Below are 24,020 nucleotides of genomic sequence, written 5' to 3' on the forward strand. Positions count from 1 at the left end.
CACAGTTGTAAGGAGTGCCTGAAAATGAGCACAGGTGAGACATCTGTTACATGAGAGTAGGAACCCCAGTTGGCTGCCAGGGGTCCCCTCCCTAATACTGAGGTGGGCTCCTGGGCTGTTCCCTGTCACCACTGGTCACTTAAAAGATACTACTTGTTCTTCTATATCTTTTTCACTGAAGAATTCCAACTTTGCTCTCTATTTGCTGTGGCCCCCTGTACACCAGAAAGGAATTTTGGTGAAGAAACCATTTATGAGTGGGGTGGGTTATTAAATAGTGTAGGGACTTCAACCTTCATTGTATGTTTAAATTATCTCTTGTGAGACTCTAAGCACAACTTAAAACCACCACTTTGCTTCCATGAAAAGAAACATTTTAGGCACCAAACTGAAGATTTATATAAACTTCTGTATAGTTTGTTTATTAGAAGGAGCCATTTTAGTTCTTTCCCTAATTATCTACTACTAAAAAAACAGTTCAGAAATCATTTTGACACTAATGTTTACCTACTATTAGGTTTAACTAAATTTTTAAAAAAATACTGTTTCTGGTAACCATTCCTTTTTAAGATTATAACTCCTTCCCAATTTAAATTATTTTTGAATCTGGGCTTCTAATAAGCAACAGAGTTTGAAGTTGTCAGAGAATTTCACTAGGAAATATCTAACAAATTTTTGTTGTATTAGAACCTTTGAATTAAATCAATGATATAAATAAGTCTTTTCAGATATATGGAAGATGATTGTTTTAAGTTTAAACATTTCTATTTTTGTGGCTAACTATAAACAGTGAATCCAAGGTTAGGCTTGTTTTTGAGATCAGAGATAGCACGCTGGGCACGGTGGCTCATGTGTGTGACCCCAACACTTTGGGATGCCAAGGCTGAAGGATCACTTGAGCCCAGGAGTTCAAGACCAGCCTGGGCAACAAACTCCTTCCCATCTCAGAGCCTCTGCCGACCCCTCTGCCTGGACTACTCAACCTCTGGCATTTTGCTTGCTGAGCCCCTCCTTCTCATTCAGTTCTCCCCTCAAATGCAACCTTCTCAGGGATGCCTTCCTGAGCCCCCCTCTACCCTATTTCCCTGCTTTGTCCCTTGCTCTCCAATTCTCTGCTTTATTTTTTACATAACACTTAGCACTAGCTGAAATTGTTATTCACTTGTTTACTTTGGAATGTGAGGTCTGTGAGAGCAAAGCCCTCATCTGTGTTTTCCTCAAAGCCTGAAATCGTGCCTGGAAGACACATGGTAGGTGCCTGGTCAACATCTGATGCAGGGAGGGAGCCAGGGAGGGAAGATGACACAGGGAAAGTGGGACACTGTGTTTCTGGTGTTTGTAGGGTCTACAGCCTCTTTAACCAGGGCAGTTTTGCTTCTCTTGATCTGTGGGGTATGTAAAAAACCAGTGAGGTTTTATTTAACAAAAGATGTTCACGCTGAAAAGAAGAGAAAGAGAGAAAAGAGAACCACTCACTATTCTAGTGGAAAGAACGTAAAGGCCTGATACTCAAAGGCTTTTCACTGATGAGTCTTGGCTTTTGTTGAAGAACTTTATTTTCTGTGCTTCAAGTCTTCTTTTCCCACCTTGAAGGATTCACTTTTTAGAATATTAAGGTAAAAATCAAAAAACATAAAATTAGCTATTTTAATGTGTACAGTTCAGCGTGAGGCTGTATTTGTGAAGTGCAGACATAGTCCCCCCAACCCACTGCCTTGTTTCTGGGATGTTGCTCCTCATAAGTGGGCAATATGAATTTTGTAGAAGAAGCAAAACTAAAAAACCAAAAAACCTCTATAAAATAGCTCATGGTAGAAAATTACCTTCACATATTCAGACTTGCTGTCTTTGCAGATTACCGTAGTGTAGCCCAGAATCTAGAATATATCACCTATTTATATCTACCATCAACAAGATTAGGTTATCTAGTTTGTTTTCCCTATTCTAAAGCCAGGTATGGTAACTGCTGGCTCCTCACCCTTACAGAGAAGAGATCATTAAGGGTATAAGACATGGGATTCTCTCTGCTCTCCTCAAAAAACTTGGGGAACCATTAAAGTATAAAGGTGTAGGGGAGAGAGGATCCTTGATACGTCTCTCCAGACATGGTCCTCTGTTGTTCAGTTTCTGTGGTTGGTTCCATGGAGGCATAGACTGGTTTACCTCAAATTAAACAATATCAGGAATTCTTACTAATGTTGTCTCTACAAAGTGGCTCTGTGTTTCAAATTAAGGGACCTAGAACTAGCATTTTCTGTGGCATCTTGGTGAGTTAGACAGGAAGGTGAGACTATCCCTGCCCCTGTGTCTCAGATAAGATCCTCTTTCTCCCTCCTGCCCCAACATCTACACATTGATCATAATGGTAGAGCAATCTTTTGGATGGTAGCCCAATTCTCTAGTCCCCACTTGAAAAATTGTCATCTCTCTTCTTGCCACTTGGCTTTTTAAAAAAAAAAAGATTATCCTTTTTTCTTTTTTCAGGTATCAAGCTCCTAGCTGCCTAATTTAGTCATCTAAAATTGTATTATGTTTCTCTGTTCTTTTTAAAGACCTAGATTAATACTATTTGGTAATTTTATTTGAAACACCCTTCATATAGGTTGGGAACTGCCACAGATACTTGGCAAAACTGATAACATGGGTGATATTTTTAATATTATGATAATATTGCAAACCTCATGAACATCCATACTCTAGAATAGATCATGATGATGAGACCAGAGTCATAGCTTCTGAACACCATTTGTTTGCACTGTTTCTGCTGGAGTACAGAAGTCGTTTTACTTATGAATGGATTCAAATCCAAAAGGTTGTTCCAAGCCCAGTTCTTGATGGGTCCCAGGTAGACAGTATAAGCATCCAATATATATGAATCTTTTTGGCGAAAACAATAGATATGGATGACATTGCATTTGTCTCTTTATTCCTTCTTTTCAAACTCTGTGATTTACTTTTTATCCTTCAGAATTGTTTCTGCTACAACCTGTGCCATGCAGCATGTACCACATTTGTCGTTTTCTTACTTTCACTTTTATCTCTACTTTTCTTTCAATCCTAGTTATTCCTTAATCTTACAGCCATCAACACTCATTGTGTTTGTACTTATCAGTCATAATAGGGTGATTCACATTCTAAAACTCCTTAAAACCAAGCATTTACACATTGTAAACTTAAGAACAGAAAGATGGCCTAGACTAAAATGACCATTAGCACCATCTGCTGAGGAGGCCAGAGCTGATGTAGAGATGCTTCTGCATAGTTTATGTTACTAAGTCTAGCATGTAATTTTAAATCTTTGCTTTTATCCTTTTCTCCATAAATCTCAGTGTGTCCCTAGTTGCACACATAACTTTAGAAGTAGAAATTTGAACAGAACTACAATGTATTTGCTGTTTTCTGATGTTTAGAATATGTGGACATGGGCCAGGTGTGGTGGCTCATGCCTGTAATCCCAGCACTTTGGGAGGCCAAGGCGGGCAGATCACGAGGTCAGGAGATCGAGACCAGCCTGGCTAACACGGTGAAACCCTGTCTCTACTAAAAATACAAAAAAATTAGCTAGGCATGGTGGCGGGGGCCTATAGTCCCAGCTACTCAGGAGGCTGAGGCAGGAGAATGGTGTGAACCCGGGAGGCGGAGCTTGCAGTGAGCCAAGATCGCGCCACTGCACTCCAGCCTGGGCGACAGAGCGAGACTCCATCTCAAAAAAAAAAAAAAAAAAAAGAATATGTGGACATATGTGTGGTGTAAGATATGAGTATCATAATACATAATCTTGTCACCAGTGTAGGAGGGGTTTGAGGAAAGAGAGGATGTGTAGGATTGGAAGCAGAAAGACCAGATAATAACAGAGTATTGCATATGTCCAGGAGAAAGTTGGAGATGAACTAAACAGGGCAGGGGAGATAGAGAGGAGAAGGTGGTACTTGAAGACCAATTAGATGCAGATGTAGGAGCCCAAGGAGACTCACAGGTTTCTCACCTGTGAGACAGAATGGATGACTATGCCCCTAACCAAAATTAAAGAGTCAAGGGGAAAAATCAGGTTTAGAGCGAGTGGAGGGAGTGGCAGTTTTATTGACGTTGCAATGGTGTGAGGGATAAATAGTGCAGAAGTGGAGACAGGAAGTGCAGTAATGTGACTATGAGGAACAGGATGGGGCGGGTGGTGCAGGGTTGAGGGAGGGGAATGTATGGATCAGAGAGATTTATAGGCTGGTGGGAGGGAACCCAGAGAGAGGGGCTGACTGAACATCTGGGAGAAAGGGACTAACTAATAGACTAAGATCCCAGAGGAGACCTTTGTAGGGGATGGGACTGAGGACAGGGGTAGCCATCCTTCCTCAAAGTCACCCACAAAGAAAGAATAGTGCCAATGCCAAGTAACTTTATAGGAGGAACAATAGAAATTGTGGACTGTATTCCTCTTGCCTCGTGTTCTCAGTGAAAGTAAAAGTCAAAATCATGCTGAGAATGAGAGGGTGATCTCTCTAGAGATCTGTCCATGCACGTCATCGAAGTGTTTCTGATAAGTGTTCAATCCTGACCATCAAGAGCTCTCTCCCTTGCCTCTTCCCTGCAACCCTCTCCCCTAATTTATTGTTTTTGCATTATGATCTAGTTTCTTAGCTCTTGCTCCCACCAGAAAAAAAGTAGAAAAAAAGAAAGAGAGGAGAGGCTGGGTTTTAAGTGTTTTGGAGAAGTCATGGAAGGGAATGATGGGAATATCTACCAAAGACAAGCAAGAGAAGGAATGTGCACTCAATGGCTGGAGGCCCAGTTGGAAACCAGGAATTTGTGGCAGCTCCAACCCCCTCTGTTTTGCAGCTTTCTCCAGATGTGCATGTGCGTGGGAATGAAGCAATATGGGATACCTGTGGAATTGATCTAAATCACTGCTGACCAGTAGAACTTTTTATGATAATGGAAATGATCTGTATCTGTGCTGTCCAATATAGTAGCCACTAGCCATGTATGGCTATTGAGTACTTAAATGTGGCTACTGCACATGAGCTGAATTTTCAGTTTTATTTTAATAGCCACAGCATTGGGCAGCACAGACCTCGAGTTAGGGGTTTGTGGTTTTCATGTGGAGAAGATGACAATGGGAAGTGGGGGAAGTGAATGGCTTTCCCATTAGCACCGCCTACTCAATTCCCAGTAGAAACAGATGTTAGACTGCGAGTGGGCTAATAAACAGTAATAAACGGGAGAAAATGGAGGGGCATTCTTGCCTATGTTAATCTATAACATTCCTATGTTAATCTTAAAGAAAAAAATGAAAAATGATTGTTCAAATGTATTGTTCAAATTTATTTTTAAGGCGAGAACGTCAGTATTCTGTATGTAATAGTGAAGATTCTCCTGGCTCTTGTGAAATTCTGTATTTCAATATGGGGAGTCCTGATCAGCTCATGGTGCACAAAGGGAAATGTATTGGTGAGTAAACTAGCAAAATCTATTCATATTATTGTAATGGCAAAAGTTAATCACAAAGGAATGGGATGGATTAGACACTGTGTCATTCAGACCAGTGCAGTCCAAGGAAGACCATCAAGCTGGTAGTCATTCTGGCTCCCATCCTTAATGACTGGAATGAGAAATCACTCAGGTTTCCTCTAATGTAAGATGGAAATAAAAACCTGTGTTTTTGTCTGGGCACCGTGGCTATGCCTATAATCCCAATACTTTGGGGGGCCGAGGTGGAAGGATTGCTTGAGTCCAGGAGTTCAAAGCTGCAGTGAGCTGTGATCATGCCACTGCACTCCAGTGTGAGTGACAGAATGAGACCCTGTCTCAATAAAATAAAATAAAATTTAAAAACCTGTGCTCTTGGAATATTATTAACATAACGATCATTTTAAATCTGTCATCATTATAATTATCCAAGCTTATTGAAACAAAAAAATGATTAAAATATTATCAGTCAGTAGAATTTTACATCATATACAGCTAATGCTGATCAAATGTATGTAACAAAGTGAATTCTAATGCCTATGATCTTTTTTGTTGTTGAGACAGGGTGTTGCTCCATCACTAGGCTGGAGTGGTACAGTGGCACAATCATAGCTCACTGTAACCTCAAACTCCTGGGCTCACTCAATATTCTCCCCTCAGCCTCCTGAATAGCTAGGACTACAGTAATGTCTGTGGTCTTTATTGACCAGATCTCATTTTCTTAAGTGGATATCCATCCATTTGGCATTTTCCTGCTTGACATATTATACCTGACCAAGAAGACCACCTTATTTTCTATATGCCTTATTTAGAAGTTTTGTCTACTCGTGGCTGTTTGGCGTGAAGCTGGTTCAGCAAATCAGAATTTGAATTGCTCATACTAAAGTCAAGTTTTTGGTATTTCTTCCTTTACCCTAAATGTATGTCATCTTTACCCAGCCTTACAGATAAAACCAGTAATTGGTATAGAAACCATTTGTACATAGTGAATTTGGCAATTAACTTTCATTTTCAATCCCATGCATATTTTTGCCAGAAGTAACAGGTAGCCAAATTATGTGAAATGAGTTTGCTTTCTTTTGGGATCTTTTCCCCTTCCTCTTTAAGGAGATACAAATAAGCAAAAGAGTTGCCAGGAAGCAGCCAGCAGGTGGAGGGAGAAGAAACCAAACTTCTCAATAATCTATGAGCTAAATACTTAACCTTGGCAGACACACAGCAGCCTGGACAGTAAAGGATCCTGCACATAGACAGAGCTGCCATATTTAGACAAAGGAATCATTGGGCAGGTTCAAGACATTGGTAGTGGTGGTTGGCTTTAGACCTGAGACTGTCCTTGACTCAGACATTTCAGATTCATGAAGTGACAACATAAAACTACTTCTAATAACCTGGGGAAATCAAGAAGGCAAATTAATTCAATTCTTATTACCTTAACTTAGTCTCTTATTCTCACTGGTACTCATTAGACAGATTCACCATAGTTAATACCCTTATTAGGAGGCACATTTTCAGTTGGAGAATTTTTAATAAAATTACCAAGTAAATTATTCATTTTGTTTTCTCACAGTGGGTCTGATTTTTTAAAATATGCCCTAATTGTCTATGAAATGTTTTTATAAAAGATTAACTACTAATTTTTTTATTTTCAATGAAGTATTTTTATAAAAAACAATATTTGTTTTTCATTTTAAAGTTGTTAGAACTAGACAGAGGAGAGAACTTACTTATAGATATGACTATAGCACTATAGAGACTGTCTGCATAAATGATCATTGTGGGCATATAGGGTTTCAGTTAGAGTTCTTTTGATAATGTATTTTCTCTTAGCCTCGTCTCAGTATATTCTTTTGTCCCTTTTATTATTCCCATCATGAAAAACTGACAAGAAGAGTCTGGCAATACTAAAATTATAATTTTTTAAACCCCAGCAACTATGAAATGCCTGCCTAGTCCCAATTAGGGAAACAAATATTGCAAAACACTGTACTGCATAACACACAAATTTAATTAGGCTTTATGTAAATAACGTCTTACTCCATCCCATAAACATTTAATGCCATGTGTTTCTAGTAGACTGCTTAGATCCCACATTTCTCAGGTTGCTTCGTTTGGTTGACAAATTTTTAAACAGCAGGATTTTTTCCCCTTAGGCAAAGACTGTCAGGAGTTATTTATGACTAACAGATCATTTTAATTAAAATCTCTAAATTATCAGCATTCCCATGAAATAAAAACTGCTTGTCAGATAAAAAGTCAAAGTGAGCTAGTTCAGCCATATTTTTCCAAAGTATTTTTGCTGAGACATCTTTATCATGTATATGCAGGTTACTTCACCTTTGATTATTCAAATAGAAAAGATAATTAGCAATGTCTCTTTAAAAATTTGTTTTCATTATGAAGATAGTATAGCATCATGGAAAACTATTATTTATATAAGAGAAAAAGGCAGATTACTATATATCGGGGTTATCAGCTGGGGGCCATTTTGTAGCCTGCAGGACATTTGATGATGTCTGCACACATTTTTGATGGCTAACATTGGGGTCGGGGTGCTATTGGCATCTAGTGGGTAGATACCAGGATTGCTGCTAAAATCCTACAGTGCACAAAACAGCTGCCTACAACAAAGATTACCTGGTCCAAAATGTCATAGTGTCAAGGTGTTATATATATGCTATGATATGGTAAATTATGGGGTAAAGGAGAATAGAGGGAACTAAAAGAAAAATAAAACAAGTGGTGATTTTTTTCTCCTTTTCCAATTTTTTAGAATTTTCTATTATGGTTTTAATGAAAATAGAGATTTTTATAAGAAAATTTTTGGTGTTACAGAAATTTAGCTCTCCCTGTGTAAGTGAGAACCATATGACTATCACTAAATAAATGTGTCTCATTTTCTAGCTTCAAATCTAAACTGTCATCTCTTGTTCTTTCCTTCCAAAGCATTGACCAGTTTGTATTTACTGAGCATATTCAAATTTTGCACTTAGAAAGTCATTGATGTATTCAGATTTTCAAATTACTGTTTTACTGTGCACACTAATCTATAATGATCTCGATGGCTTGTTCTCTATTTTCATATTCTTTCTGTCATTTTAGTTGGTATTTAGCTGTATGAGTGTACACCAGTAGACACAGTCAGCAAAGGTAGACTCGTTATGAAAATAACATTGTGCATAATGGCTAGTAGCATAAAACACTGGCCTCTTTTGTTTTTTGAGACAGAGTCTTGCTCTTGTCGCCCAGGCTGGAGTGCAATGGTGCGTTGTAGGCTCACTGCAACCTCCGCCTCCCAGGTTCAAGCGATTCTCCTGCCTCAGCCTCCCAAGTAGCTGAGACTCCAAGTGCCCGCCACCAAACCTGGCTAATTTTTTTGTATTTTTAGTAGCGACGGGGTTTCACCATGTTGTCCAGGCTGGTCTCGAACTCCTGACCTCAGGTGATCCATCTGCCTTGGCCTTCCAAAATGCTGGGATTACAGGCGTGAGCCACCACGCCTGGCCAAACATTGGTCTCTTTATTTGCCTGATACTAAGATCTCATTGTAGATTCTTGCCCCTTATAAAAAATTATTTTAGGACTCAGGTATATTGCTAAATATCAAAAATTGTTTACAAAAGGACATTATTACATAAAGTCCTATTTTCCATAGTTAGCGCATGGTATCCATTGTTGAACTAAAGAATGTGTATTACCCCCTCCCTTCCTTCCCCCAAGAGAAAACATACCAGTGGGATTTAATTACACTTTCTGTTTAATGTGCAGGCAGTGATGAACAACTTGGAAAATTAGTCTACAATGCTTTGGAAACAGCCACTGGTGGCTTTGTCTTGTTGTATGAGTGGGTCCTTCAGTGGCAGAAAAAAATGGGTCCATTCCTTACCAGTCAAGAAAAAGAGAAGATTGATAAGTGCAAAAAGCAGGTAAGCATCCAAGGTGGCTGACTGAGCAAAAGGCCTAATCTCAGGCTTTAGGAGATGACAGAACAAAATAGCCCTGCATTTGTTTGCCCTGCAGAGATGGTCCAGAGCAGTATGAGAACTGTTTGACCAGGGAGGACAGTGAAGGACCAGTACCTCTTTGCCCCTTGCCTCTGGTTTCAGAACTTTCACAACATGATCAAAGCACTTCCAGCTGCCTTCTTAACCTCCTTTCTTAGCCCTTAGTATGGCATTAACAGTCATCTTTCCAACTGGGACTAAATACTAGTTCATAATTGGGTTTTTTTGCAATTCTTCTTTTCCCTACTCTTGAAATATTGCTTCAGGGCTGGGTGTAGTGACTCATACCTGTAATCCCAGCACTTTGGGAGGCCAAGGTAGGAGGACTACTTGAGCCCAGGAGGTTGAGACCAGTCTGGGCAACATGGTGAAACCCTGTCTCTACAAAAAATTTAAAAATCTGTGGGCATGGTGGCACATACTTGTGGTCCCAGCTGCTTGGGAGGCTGAGGTGGGATAATTGCTTGAGCCCGGGAGGCTGAGGTGGGATAATTGCTTGAGCCCAGGAGGTTGAGGCTGCAGTGAGCTGTGTTCATGCCACTGAACTGCAACCTGGGTGATAGAGCAAGACCCTGTCTCCAAAAAAAAAAAAAGAAAAGAAAAATACTGCTTCAAAACTGAATTTTGGGGGACCGGAGGATTTTTAAGTTAATTTATAAATTATGATTTATAACCAAGCATAAGGAGAACATTCAGTATTGCATATTGCAGTGTTACATAATAACAAGGTTTACAAAAACGTAGATAAAGCATGGTGTTCAGAAATGTGTGTGTATTTAAGTATAGAAAGAAAACTGAAAGTAAATGTGCCAAAATCTTGAGTTATCACTGGGTGGTGACCACATAGATAACATGTGGGTATTTTCTATCAAACTAATTTTTTAAATGTTGACAATGATCTTTATTAAATCAGAAAAGATTTTTTTTTTCTGTCTTCAACCTTAACTCCTCTTTGCCATGTGAGGTTCTGAGGATTAGGATGTGGCCATTATTCTGCTGCTCAAATCATATACTATATTTTTAAAAACCCAAATACAAAGCTAATCAGAAAAGGTTATTTTTAAATTAAAGTTTGTTTTTTCTAGTGGCTATACCTCAAAAGAATTTTATTTTAAAAACTGTTCACTAATTTTGTAGTATATGCATAGTAGGTTTTGAGATTAGAGAAGTTGAGAATTAGCTAAATTTTTTCCATCTTTATGAACTATTAGATTGACCATATGGTTTGGGGAGGATTCAGTTTAGGGCATATTTGTTCTCCTCTCATTTGAAAGTATATTTTCTATCAAATACTTCACTTTTGGTTTTGGTTTTGTTTTTTTATGCCCCCATCTTGTATGATCAAATACTTCACTTTTGAAATGAAACCCAAGTTAATGTTGACTGGCCCAATATTCTTTTTTTTTTTTTTTAACTTATCAGATTCAAGGAACAGAAACAGAATTCAACTCACTGGTAAAATTGAGCCATCCAAATGTAGTACGCTACCTTGCAATGAATCTCAAAGAGCAAGACGACTCCATCGTGGTGGACATTTTAGTGGAGCACATTAGTGGGGTCTCTCTTGCTGCACACCTGAGCCACTCAGGCCCCATCCCTGTGCATCAGCTTCGCAGGTACACAGCTCAGCTCCTGTCAGGCCTTGATTATCTGCACAGCAATTCTGTGGTGCATAAGGTCCTGAGTGCATCTAATGTCTTGGTGGATGCAGAAGGCACCGTCAAGATTACGGACTATAGCATTTCTAAGCGCCTCGCAGACATTTGCAAGGAGGATGTGTTTGAGCAAACCCGAGTTCGTTTTAGTGACAATGCTCTGCCTTATAAAACGGGGAAGAAAGGAGATGTTTGGCGTCTTGGCCTTCTGCTGCTGTCCCTCAGCCAAGGACAGGAATGTGGAGAGTACCCTGTGACCATCCCTAGTGACTTACCAGCTGACTTTCAAGATTTTCTAAAGAAGTGAGTATCACTGAGATTCTCTCTAATAGCACTTTACTCCTGTACTTTTGATTGTGCTGGAGTGTGCCAGACATCTAAGTGATGTGGAAGCTGAGAAGTGAGGAACAGGACTTCATTCTTTGCTCTCCCAATCCTGTCCTAGTCTCATATGTTCTGTTTTCTCATGTAGGTTGGTGATTCTCTTAACTACCACATTCTCTGAAATTCACTTGGAATTCACACTTGATTTTCAAACTCCTTTTGGGGGACTGATGGGATACTCTTGGAAGTCAATAGAGATGGTTATGGTGAGAAATGCCCTAGGTATTCCAAATACTGACCTTTGCTCTGGTTCCTAAAGGGTCAAAGACGAGGCTCCTTATTCAAAAACAGCTTTGGGAGTGAGATTCTGCCCCTTGTGCTTCTTAACCATTCTTCATTGGCTGTCTCATTCATTTAAGTTGTAGAATGCAAATAACTTCCTTAGTCTAGCCAGAGGAGTTTCAATACCTGTAAATCACAGGTGCATGTTTAATTACAAAGCCAAGTTTTATCCAATTTGGGAGAACCCTTCTTGAGATGTTTCCTCAGGCCTAAGATGTTTGTCCAGGTCCTTCACTTAAGTGTTTTCTAATTTCGTCCTGCCTCTGTTTTCAGTCCAAGCCAGAGCTAAGTTCTGTCAGTTTCTGTTAAATGGGAGATAAGATCCCTTCAGTCTGGATTTTTCCAGATGCTCCTCTGGTCCAGCTATCCTGCAGGAGTTGACCTGGGCTGGTTTCTTCCCTTTCTGACACTCTTTGTTTTTTACCTTCTTTTTCCCAATCATTTGCTTTTATTCACTTCTTCCATTTGCAACATTTCTTTTACCCTTCACATTTCTTTCCCTATTCCACCTATCGCAGTAGCCAGTTGGCCTGGTTTACATTGTTATGCTCTGTCACTGATGGTCTTACCATTACAGATGTGAAAGTAGCTGCACCTGTGTTTGAGATTGTTTTTGTGTAAAGTGAATATGATATATATATATATATATACACACACATACATACAGTTGTGGAAAGGGGCCAAGTTTGATTCTTTATGTTGGTTTCTCGCCTTGAAGTATATGAAAATATTAAGATTTCTAAAGAAATCTTTTATGGTATCTTTTTAATGCAATGGAGCTTTAAACATATTTATTTAAATGCACCCTAACAATGAGGTTGGCCAAAATGACAAATATGATGATAGAATCACAGATGGAAAGTTTCATTTCCATCTTCAAAATGTCACCTTTAGTGTTCTGCCTTCTTCATTGATGAAGAGTAATTTAGTCAAGGTTAGCAATAGCATCATGTGTTGTTAAAAACAGTACTGGGAGGTTTAAGTAGAAGTACCTTTCCTTTCCCGTTTAGTAGCAAAATGAATGGGCTCGGTAGGTAAAACTTTCCTAGTTCTCTTCTTAAATAGCTGTATGCTCTGTCAGTTTTAAACTTGAGATCAGCACAATTTCTTATTCTTTTTTTTTTTTTTTTTTTTTTGAGATGGAGTCTGGCTGTGTCGCCCAGGCTGGAGTGCAGTGGTACGATCTCAGCTTCCTGCAAGCTCCGCCTCCCAGGTTCACGCCATTCTCCTGCCTCAGCCTCCTGAGTAGCTGGGTCTACAGGCGCCCGCTACTACACCCGGCTAATGTTTTGTATTTTTAGTAGAGACAGGGTTTCACCATGTTAGCCAGGATGGTCTCAATCTCCTGACCTCGTGATCCGCCCACCTCGGCCTCCCAAAGTGCTGGGATTACAGGCGTGAGCCATAGCGCATGGCCTTCTTATTCTTTTAACAAGATTTTTCTTTAGACTATTTTGTATACTTCTCTCCCTGGAGTGGTTTGATAGACTGTGCTTGGTTAAGGAGCTGCCAAGAACTGTTTTTATGAACTTTGCTGTCCAGCCCTGGTTAACAAAAGAAAAATGCCATTCACAAAGAATGAAAACAGCAACCTTCCATTTGTAGTTATATTTTTACATATTAGTGAACACCCTTTGGAGCAAGATTTTGTTTCAAATCAGCCTCTGTGATGGGTAAGACTCTGGAGTCAAAACATCTGGGTTCAGGTCTCACCTCTATGTCCTACTGGCTGAGTGAATTAACCCCCTGCCCTGCGTTTCCTCCTCTGTGAAACTGGGATAATAGCACTGCCTACCTCATGAGGTGGTTGTGAGGATTAAATTAGTTAACAGCCATAAAGTGCCTGGCACTTGGCCCAGACTGAGTCAGTGCTGGTTTTCATCACCATCCTCAGTAGTGAGAACTATGAAGAAATGTGGGTGTTGCCAGGCATTTTATCCCTTTTTGTTCAAAGCTGAACCTTTTCTATATACGGCTACCCTGTTGCCAAAATTATTGATTCAGAGAAGTTCATTTTTAAAGTGAGATCTTGGTGGCTATAAATCTCTTAAAAATACTGTGCATTCTAGGTAGGCTGTAACATTTTTCTGATCCAGATTTACTTTCAAGTCAATAACATTTATGTCACAGTTGAGTTACAGTTGATAACGCAATTCAGAAACCCAACAGGGCATATATAGGGATGCTCATTGCAGCATTTTGTGAAAATGTGAAAAATTGGAAATAATCTCAACAGTAGGAGAATGTGTAAATAAATTCTGGTAGGTCCACGCCTATACAGAAGTTTAAAAAAAATCTTTAAGTACTGGCTTAGAAAGAGCTCCAAGACACATGGTGGAATGAAAAAAGCAAGCTGAAGAATAATGTATATAAGATGATATTGCTTAAAAAAATCAAAAAACAATACTATTTTGTTTGGATGGTTGTATGTTTATGTGTATAAATGCATAGAAAAATCTCTACAATGAGACACCCTAAGTGGAAGAAAGAATTGGAAGGGGAGGTTGGTCAAAGGCTTTATCATTATCAGTAATGTTTTAATATTTGCAAGGAGAAGGTATATATGTTTTAATGATATAATTAAAAAGTAATTTTAAATTTAAAGGAAAATACGGTATCTTATACAAATGGTTTTATTAGAATTTTTTTGCCTGTTCAAGCTATGAAATTAGGAGTACCTTGCTTTTTACTGCTGCAACATAAAAAAAAGTTACCATTTATGATAGTTGCTGTCACCACTTTGTATGTATAGATTTTTAAGTCCAGAACTCACAACGACAGTTGATTCTTTTAAGTATATTGTTTTAATTATAGGTCAAGTGCTACCAAGTCGTACTACTTGGGCCGTTGTAATGAAAGTAGCTTGGCATGGTGGTTCATGCCTGTAATCCCAGCATTGCAGGAGGCCTAGGTGAGAGTATCTCTTGAGTCCAGGAGTTCAAGACCTGCCTGGGCAACATAGTAAGACCTCATCTCTACTTTTTTAAGTATTCCAGCACAGCAGGGCGTGATACCTCACACCTGTAATCCCAGCACTTTGGGAGGCTGAGGCAGGCAGATCACTTGAGGTCAGGAGTTCAAGACCAGCCTGGCCAACATGGCAAAACCCCATATCTACTAAAAAGACAAAAATTAGCCATGCATGGTGACACTCACCTGTAATCCCAGCTACTTGAGAGCCTGAAGCAGGAGAATCGCTTGAACCTGGGAGGTAGAGGTTGCAGGTTGCAGTGAGCCAAGATAGTGCCACTGCACTCCAGCCTGGGCAAGAGAGCAAGACTTCGTCTCATAATAAAATAAAATAAAATGAAAATAAATAAACAAAACATTCCAGCATGGTGGTACACGCCTGTAGTCCCAGTTACTCAGGAGGCTGAGGCAAGAGGATGCTTTGAGTCTAGGAGTTCGAGGCTGCCATGAGTGATGATCGCAACACTGCTTTCCAGCTTGGGTGACAGAGCAAAACCTTATCTCAAAAAAAAAAATTAAAATTAAAAAAAAAGGCCAGCTTAAATCAGTTACAGTTTAACTACTTAGACTTTAACTTAGACTTTAGCTTGCATTGAAATCATTTGGAGCTCTTGTTAAAGCACAGATCACTGTCCAAACCTCCAGAGATGCTGATTTACTAGGTCAGGGGTATAGTAGAATTTGTATTTCTAACATTTTTTAGGGGATACTGATGCTACTGGCCAGGGACCCCACTTTGAGAAGCCCTGGGTTAAAGGTATGGCTTGTTTTTCTTCATTAAAAAACAAAACAAGAATTGTCTATTACACCATTAAACAGTAAGTTAATGGGTTCAAGGAATGAAGATTAAAAGAAAGTATATGAGGCCGGGCACGGTGGCTCACGCCTGTAATCCCAGCACTTTGGGAGGCCGAGACAGGCAGATTGTTTGAGCTCAGGAGTTGGAGACCAGCCTGGGCAGTGTGGTGAAACCCTATCTCTACAAAAAATATAAAAATTAGCCAGGCCTGGTGGTGCCTGCCTGTAGTCCCAGCTACTGAGATGGGAGGATTGCTTGAGCCCGGGAGGCAGAAGTTGGAATGAGCTGAGATCACACCACTGCACTGCAGCCTGGGCGATACGGCAAGACCCTATTTCAAAAAAAAAAAAAAAGCATAAACCAATTTTTAAAAAAAGTATGCAATAGAATATGGGACTTTAAAAAAGCCTTCCCTAAATGTTTCCAACTTGCTTCATCCTGTAATGAGCAGGCTTCATCTAAAGCTCGTCATACTGAGCCACTCTGCTGCACCAACTCTCTGATTTGCTTTGTCTTTCGAAAGCTTTATTTATAACCGGTTCCTGCAAAGGCTTAGTTTGGCATGACAAGGCATTAAACTGTTCATCGAGGTGAAAATTTATAGCCTACTTGTGCTACCTTAGACTTTTAAAAAATTGTTCCATGAGGGTAAGTCTTCTCATCTAGAGATGCCTTTTTTTGATTCGCCTCTTGTACCCAGCCTGTCGCATAGCATGTAAATCCTGCAGGAATGTTTATTAATTTAAATTCACCTATGAGAGTACATTCTGGTCTTTGAGTAACATGAATTCTATAATGTGTATCTTTAAAAAATAAACCCATAGTTAATGCCTTGGATTAACTAGTTTAGCACTGATTGTTTGTGATGCTAAGATTCTTCCTTCCCTCTCACCGAGATGTGTGTGCTTGGATGACAAGGAAAGATGGAGTCCCCAGCAGTTGTTGAAACACAGCTTTATAAATCCCCAGCCAAAAATGCCTCTAGTGGAACAAAGTCCTGAAGGTGAGTCTGTTACCTTTCTTTATTTGGTAACCTGTTTGACATTAAATTATTTTGAAAGTATACATAAACCAAAAACTGGAAGGGGCTGCATGTGTTATTTTATGTCTTTTATTCTGAACTAAATCCATTAGTTTGATGTGTGCCATGTGCATGGGACTGTTTTGCCACCCTGATTTTTCTAGTCTCTATTGATGGAATGAATGTCCATTGCTGTAGTCTCTTGTAGTGTTTAGTCACCCATAGTGCCATGTAACTAGATTTTTCCTGCTGCACCTGAGATTAAGGAACCTCGGTAGAGATTGGGATGGATCATGAGACCTGAGTTTTGGTTCTAGCTCTATAGTTAAGTCACTTATTCTATATAATCCCCCACCTGTAAACTTGGGCTAATTATATATTTCTGCCTACTTTAAGGAGGGCAAGGTGAGGAAAAGTTTTAAAAGGCCACTCAGGTAAGAGGTAATTTTTCAAACTACTGGTTGGAGCTCTTCTTCCAGGGCTTCCATCATTGTTGGCTATGTAGCTCTTCCTAAATTTCCAATGCCTCATGTGCCTCTTACTCCCTGTTTTATCTCAGATTCTGAAGGACAAGATTATGTTGAGACTGTTATTCCTAGCAACCGGCTACCCAGTGCTGCCTTCTTTAGTGAGACACAGAGACAGTTTTCCCGATACTTCATTGAGTTTGAAGAATTACAACTTCTTGGTAAAGGAGCTTTTGGAGCTGTCATCAAGGTGTGGTACAGAGTCATTCCCAGTCCCCTTTAGAGCTCCTTCTCTGTTCCATTTCCACAAAGACTCATGGACTTTACTTTTATTTTGGGAGTGGGGAGGGAAGTGAATATGGCTGTTGGATACTATGCTCATCCTCACCTTCCTGGAGTTAAAGGTTTTATTTAAGTTACGCTGGACACAGTTGAGAATTGTCCCACTCCTCTTTCCTTGCTTCATGTGGAGCATTAACATGAAACACACATGGTTATAACAGCACTTCAAGTGGAATCAAGACCTCCACAGAAAGAACATTTTTGTGTGCTTTGGTTCAGAAAGAACATTGTTCTTTTTTTCTCCTGTTTGCTGTTAGAGTTGCTGTAGATAAAAAGGTTCTAAGGTTAGAAGAGAGATGGACTTCAAACTGGGAGATGGCCCCAGCAGGTCTCGATGGCTTTTATTTTCCAGCTATTATTGGGACAGGAAAGTAGCGATGTATTATTAAGGTACACTGTTGTTGGGTCTTCCTTTCTTCGTTCTAGTCTATTTGGGTGACTTTTATTATTATCTGCCCCTTGTAGAAAGAGGTTTCAGCTGTTTTTATATAATAGAAGTATTTCTTTGTAAATTAGGAGACCCAGATTATTGTATTAAGTCCATATACAGTACATGTCATCTTTCACATATGAAGGTAACCCACCATCAACTGAGTATATTGTCTGTTAAGGATTCTGAGAGTATCATTAGGAAGCATTACTGTTACTGTAGAAAAACTTTTACACTAAAAAAGGAATTAAATTAGTTTTCCTGTGGTAAAAGACAGACAAGCAAGACAGATGTCCTGATCAGAAAGATCATAATTATGTCTAAGAGGAGGGGATGATTGAAGCGTATACTGTCCCTTTAACACAATATCATTTTGATCAAATCCTTTAACTTCATTCTATTTTAAATTCTTGAACGTAGAATAGTAACAAATTTCATCTCTTTACAAGTACTTAATAATGATAGGCAAGCTCATATAACAAAAACATCTGAGTAACTTAAGCCCCCACGGTTTCCAGTAGTTTCTCCCTGTGAGAATCCACAGCCCTCACCTCCTACCTCTGTGCTTCTGTGTCAGAGTAGGGCAGCCTGCCCAGTGATCTGGCATTCATTAGCAGTTGGACCCATTACTGTTTCTGCACCTTTTCACTTCAGTAAATGAATTCCTAGGGGTTTCCAGTATAGCAAGCTTTACTCCCAACCCAGTTCGTATATGATGTGTACTGAGACAGGAGATCGAAAGGCAATGCCAAGATCCCCACCTCCCGCCCTACACTGTCCTCTTCCCTATTAATGTGGCAGTAAAAGAACACAGGGCTATCATTTTTTGGAGCACCTGCCATATTTCAGATTGTGTGCCAGGTGATTTACAAACCTTGTCTTTAAATCTCAGGACATTCTTACGAGATGGGTATGATCCTCATTCCCTAGATGAGGGAACTGAAGCTCAGAGAAGGTTATGTCCTTTGCCTGAGATAAGGGAGATAAAACCAGCATTCAGACCCACCTCTGTTGTACTACAAAGTGTGTGTTCTTGTCACTATTTCCATACAAAAAAAGATAATCTGAAACTCAATTTTGTAGTACTTCCTTCTTATTCCCAGGACTTCACTTAGACTTTTATTAGTTTAATTGAAACTTGTGAGCCAAACAAGAGAATGATATTCTGTTTTGTGTTTTGTAATCAACTAATTTCTCCTGCCACCCATGGCCACATGGCATTTGCTTTTCTAGAGTATATCATCACCTCAGTTGACCTGCACGGATGTGACTACAAGGTTTCAGTGAATAAGACTCTGTAAAAGTTACTTCAGTCACCCCAATTACATAGTGAAACTGCCTGGCATAAGGATGCCTCTATGTAGGATGGGAGGACTTGCCTTTGCAACGTTTTCTTGCTTTCTTATTATTTTACTGTGTTGTTAATTGTATTGTTCTGGTTTCAGTATACATCATCTTAGGTATATAACAAAATCAATGGGCAGTGATTGTGTTAATAGCAATTGCTGTTATTGACTAAGCTAAGCACCTTTCTCTGTGAGGCCTTGATACAAGTGCTTTACAGTCACCATTTGGGGTAGTGGAAATGGTATAAATGCCATTTTAAAGATAAGAAAATTGAGTCTCAAGGAAATTAAGTAATTTTCCCAAGTTCACACGGCTTTAGAAATCAAGGAATTAACCTTTGTGTTCAGGTCTGTTAATATTTTTGGTGTTTAATTTGTTTTTAGTGACTTTAAGTGTAAAAAAAAATCAGAGAGAAACTAAAATCATCTGAAACTTTACACTGACTTTAGAAAATAATTTTTAATCTTAAAATCAAGACACTTAGAAATTTAGATAGCAGATACATTGGAAAAGCAGGGAGGTAACTGTCAGTAAAATTAATTATTAAAATGGAGATTATGTTTTCCCCAGGGTCTCCCAGCAAGCTAAATATATCTAGAGTCGGGTGGGCTGTTTTCTGAATTTTGTGGCAGTCAAAGCTTTCTTCAGTTTAAGAATTTCAGGCATGTGGTTCTTGACTGTAGCTGTGGGACTCATTTAGAACTTCACGCTTTCCTTGGGAGGGGATGGGGTGCGGTGCAAATGCCTGTTTGTGCAAGGCTCCGAGCGGCTGACCTTCCCCTGGCTGTGCCGCAGGTGCAGAACAAGTTGGACGGCTGCTGCTACGCAGTGAAGCGCATCCCCATCAACCCGGCCAGCCGGCAGTTCCGCAGGATCAAGGGCGAAGTGACACTGCTGTCACGGCTGCACCATGAGAACATTGTGCGCTACTACAACGCCTGGATCGAGCGGCACGAGCGGCCGGCGGGACCGGGGACGCCGCCCCCGGACTCCGGGCCCCTGGCCAAGGATGACCGAGCTGCACGCGGGCAGCCGGCGAGCGACACAGACGGCCTGGACAGCGTAGAGGCCGCCGCGCCGCCACCCATCCTCAGCAGCTCGGTGGAGTGGAGCACTTCGGGCGAGCGCTCGGCCAGTGCCCGTTTCCCCGCCACCGGCCCGGGCTCCAGCGATGACGAGGACGACGACGAGGACGAGCACGGTGGCGTCTTCTCCCAGTCCTTCCTGTAAGCGCACGGCGCGGACCAGCTGCCTCTGATGCGCCCCCTAGTTTCCTTTCTTTATTTTTTTTTCCTTTTTCCTTTCATTTCCTTCCTTCCTTCTTTCCTTCTTTTCTTTCTTTCCTTTTTTGAGATAGGGTCTTGCTCTGTCACCCAGGCTGGAGGTCAGTGGCGCGTCCTTGGCTGCAACATCCGCCTCCCGGGCCAGCGAATGCCCCCCAACATTAATCCCCACCAAGTCCAAGCCAGGGAAAAGGGGATTCATTTAGAAATCCAGACGTGTTGACCATGTTTAAAAACAAAAACAAAAACAAAACAAAACCACCACTTTTAGAGAGTAACCAAATGCAATCTAAAGGAGCGGTCCCCAGCGTTTTTAGGCACCAGGGACTGGTTTCATAGAAGACAATTTTTCCACAGACGGGTGTTAGGGAAATAGTTTCGGGATGAAACTGTTCCACCTTACATCATCAGGCATTAGAGTCTCATAATGACTGCTGAAAAAGCGCACAACCTGGATCCCTCGTGTGCACAGTTCACAATAGTGTTTGCGCTCCTATGAGAATCTAATGCGGCTGCTGATCTGACAGGAGGTGGAGCTCAGGCCTTAATGCTTGCTCACCTCCGGCTGTGCGGCCCTAACAGGCAGTGGACCTGTACCTGTCCATGGCCTGGAGGTTTGGGACCCCTAATCTAAAGGATTTTTTTTCCCGCTATTTTCAAAAGATCTCCAAAATCCAAGCCATGGAAAAAGGAAAATTCAATACCTCATCTTATACATTGAATAGAATTTCTCATAGGACATTCCTTTGGATAAGGGCTTGCAACCCTGTGAAACATTTAAGAACTAATTTGGAGTCTTGATACAGTGCCAACTGCAGCCCCCAAAGGTACCAAACCAATAATTATGATCCTAAATTTTATGCTTCTCAGAATCCACCCTGGATGTTTACTTTCATGATTTTGTTTTATTTTATCCAAGTGGATACAGTTTATGATTACTCTTCACTATTAAATTTTTTGAGGAAACTTAATCTGGCTAATTTTTATTAAATCAAGGGTTCTGTGTTTTGCATAATAGCAAGTACAAATCAGCACAGTGTAGAGTATACATTGATGCCTGTGGGCTCATGGTGTGATGTCTGTAGCCTCTTGTGCTTTCTAGTATTTAAAAATGTCCATGTTTATAATGATAATAGGGATTTCTGTTCCTTTAGTATTTCTGTTTCCCTTTTTCAGGCCTGCTTCAGATTCTGAAAGTGATATTATCTTTGACAATGAAGATGAGAACAGTAAAAGTCAGAATCAGGTATATATATGAATAGAAATTATATCATTTTATTCGTGATATAATTGACGTCTGATGTCATAAACCTTAGGTAAAGTATTAAGGCTTTAATCTGATATTCAGATATAGAAACCATAAATTTTAAAAGATGATTATTCATTTAAAATATATTCTACCTGTGTTTATTTATAGACCTTCTTTATTTATCCACATAGTAAAACATACCTCCTTTTAGAAGAGAGGAGTCAGTTGAGACACTGCATTTTTGTATGTGATGAAAACAGTTTTCTAAGGGTTTGGGAAACTTTATATGGTTGGGGATAAGAATTGAATGCAAATTAATGAACTAGATTTGCATTTATGGAGTTACCTCATCATGGAGTTACCTTGGTCTGTCCCACGTCAATTAATCTTGATTCCTTATTTTCATAGACCATCCTCTAGAACAGTGTTTTCACACTGTGTATCGTGATCCTATAATGCAGGGGTGTCCAAGCTTTTGTCTTCCCTTGGCTACACTGGTAGAAGAATTGTCTTGGGCCACACATAAAATATACTAACACTAATGATAGCTGATAAGCTAAACAAACAAAAAAATCACAAAAAATCTCATAATTTTTTTTTGAGATTGTGCTGTTTTTTTAGTTGTGTTTTCAATGGAGAAATACATCATCTGTTGACAAAATAGCTTTTGAAAAATACGAGTACAGATACTATAAAACAAAGCAAACTTCAGTCGTGAGACACTACATACATCATGTGAAAGCAACAGTCTGATCTCCAGGTTGTGAAAACTATAATTAAAAAGTCACTACACAGAAAAGATCCAAGTTTCCAGGTTGGCAAAACTTCGGTGCAGTTACATGAAACGTTTAACAAACTGATTTGTTTTCCCCAATGTGTAAACAAAATGACAAGACTAAGTCTGTGCCTGGTAATTTCAATGTAACTCTGAAGCTACACAAAACACACAGACACCTTATACACTTCACCTGTTAGTATGACCATCTTTTTTGTTAGGTGGTGGGAGGAAGGGCAAGGTGACTGTGTAAAGCAAAGATGTGGGAAGTAGAAATATTATGTACTAGACGTTATAAAATCATGGTGAAAAGAAAGCTTTGATTAATGCGTAGCCTAAGGGGGAAAAGACTACACTCCAACTTCAGAAAATTAATTTAGAAGGATAGGGGAAGAGATTAAGTAATTGCAGTTTAACATGAAAAATGCACATGTGATAGAATGGAGCACAATGGAAGATTCATAAAACATGCTCATCAGAAAAATCTGTTAAGTTTACTTTGTCCAGATTAAGAAAGAGTAAGTTTATCAACATCTGGCATCCCTCATACTTTGTAAAGATAGATCTTCTGCTGCTTAATTATGAGAAATTATTTTATTCAAAGAGGGGAGCTTGTCAAGTGCTTGCTAGAAATTATTTTTAAAATGCTTCTACATGTAAAATGTACTGACAAATTTTGGTAAACCATTTAAAAATAAGAATTAGTTTTGAAATCTTGGAGAAAATGTCTTTTTGCCCACATTTAAAACTGAAAATCAATTTTACTATAGACAGGAGTTCTGTGGAGTATACAAAATTCCTCTTAGAAATCAAATGGCCATCCCAGATAGATATCAAGTTTCACAGGCATTACTTTTAGTCAGTCTCAAGTTTCAGCCACGGGACCAAAATTTAGTGTTCTGTACCATGTTGGTTTCACATCACGGCTTAAGAAAATACTGACATTTTGTTTCTTATGAAATAAGTCCTATCTTGTGCATACAAGCAAAAAGAAAAAGGAAGAAAAGAGGGGAGGGGAAGGCGCAAGAAGCTCTTTTTTGTTTGTTTTGAAGACAACAGATTGAAGGCAAAAGAATACAGAGCTTTCATAAGCTCAAAGAAAAATATTTGCTGGCTAGTCGCTGATTTGTATGCACTATAAAACATTCCATAAATAAAACTGATATATCATTTCTTAATCATGACCCCATCAAAACGAAGTTATTTCCTAACTATTCTTTCAACGTCAATGTACCCTAGAGTTGACATTTCATTTTTAAGGGTTGCAGCTACCTCATAGGAACTGAAATAGACGTACGCTTACCCTTTCTCTGAAGTATAACAGTGCACAATGGTATCCAATTTGAAGACTAATGGTAAAGAAAATTCTTCAGAAAAAACTGAAAATCCATCAAGCTGAAAATCTATAATTAGTTCTACTTTCTAATAAAAAGTACATAAAAGTACATCATCAGAATAAATAATTCTTATGCCAGTTTGTATTGCAAATTTTCCAAACAATGCATCAAACATAAACCCAATCCAGATGTCAATTGTGAATACAAATAGAGCT

General features: G+C 39.5%; 1 protein-coding gene across 1 annotated transcript in view, besides 1 other annotated feature; it reads left to right on the forward strand.

Moving 5' to 3' along the window:
• Positions 1-24,020, forward strand: part of EIF2AK4 (eukaryotic translation initiation factor 2 alpha kinase 4) — a 101,477-nt gene that overhangs the window by 22,343 nt on the left and 55,114 nt on the right. The window contains exons 7-13 of the mRNA NM_001013703.4: positions 5,327-5,442; positions 9,229-9,386; positions 10,887-11,422; positions 16,451-16,557; positions 17,135-17,292; positions 19,957-20,387; positions 21,621-21,690. Of these exons, the coding sequence (NP_001013725.2) occupies positions 5,327-5,442; positions 9,229-9,386; positions 10,887-11,422; positions 16,451-16,557; positions 17,135-17,292; positions 19,957-20,387; positions 21,621-21,690 (1,576 nt within the window). The remainder of the gene's footprint in view (positions 1-5,326; positions 5,443-9,228; positions 9,387-10,886; positions 11,423-16,450; positions 16,558-17,134; positions 17,293-19,956; positions 20,388-21,620; positions 21,691-24,020) is intronic.
• Positions 3,065-3,566: an enhancer, noted in NCBI's record as "H3K4me1 hESC enhancer chr15:40251723-40252224 (GRCh37/hg19 assembly coordinates)". NCBI's record gives its function as "activates a minimal SCP1, AML or CMV promoter by ChIP-STARR-seq in naive H9 embryonic stem cells {active_cell/tissue: H9 hESC(naive)}" and the evidence as "EXISTENCE:reporter gene assay evidence [ECO:0000049][PMID:30033119]".

This window comes from Homo sapiens, chromosome 15 (assembly GCF_000001405.40).
Source record: "Homo sapiens chromosome 15, GRCh38.p14 Primary Assembly".
Classification (NCBI taxonomy): Eukaryota; Metazoa; Chordata; class Mammalia; order Primates; family Hominidae; genus Homo; species Homo sapiens.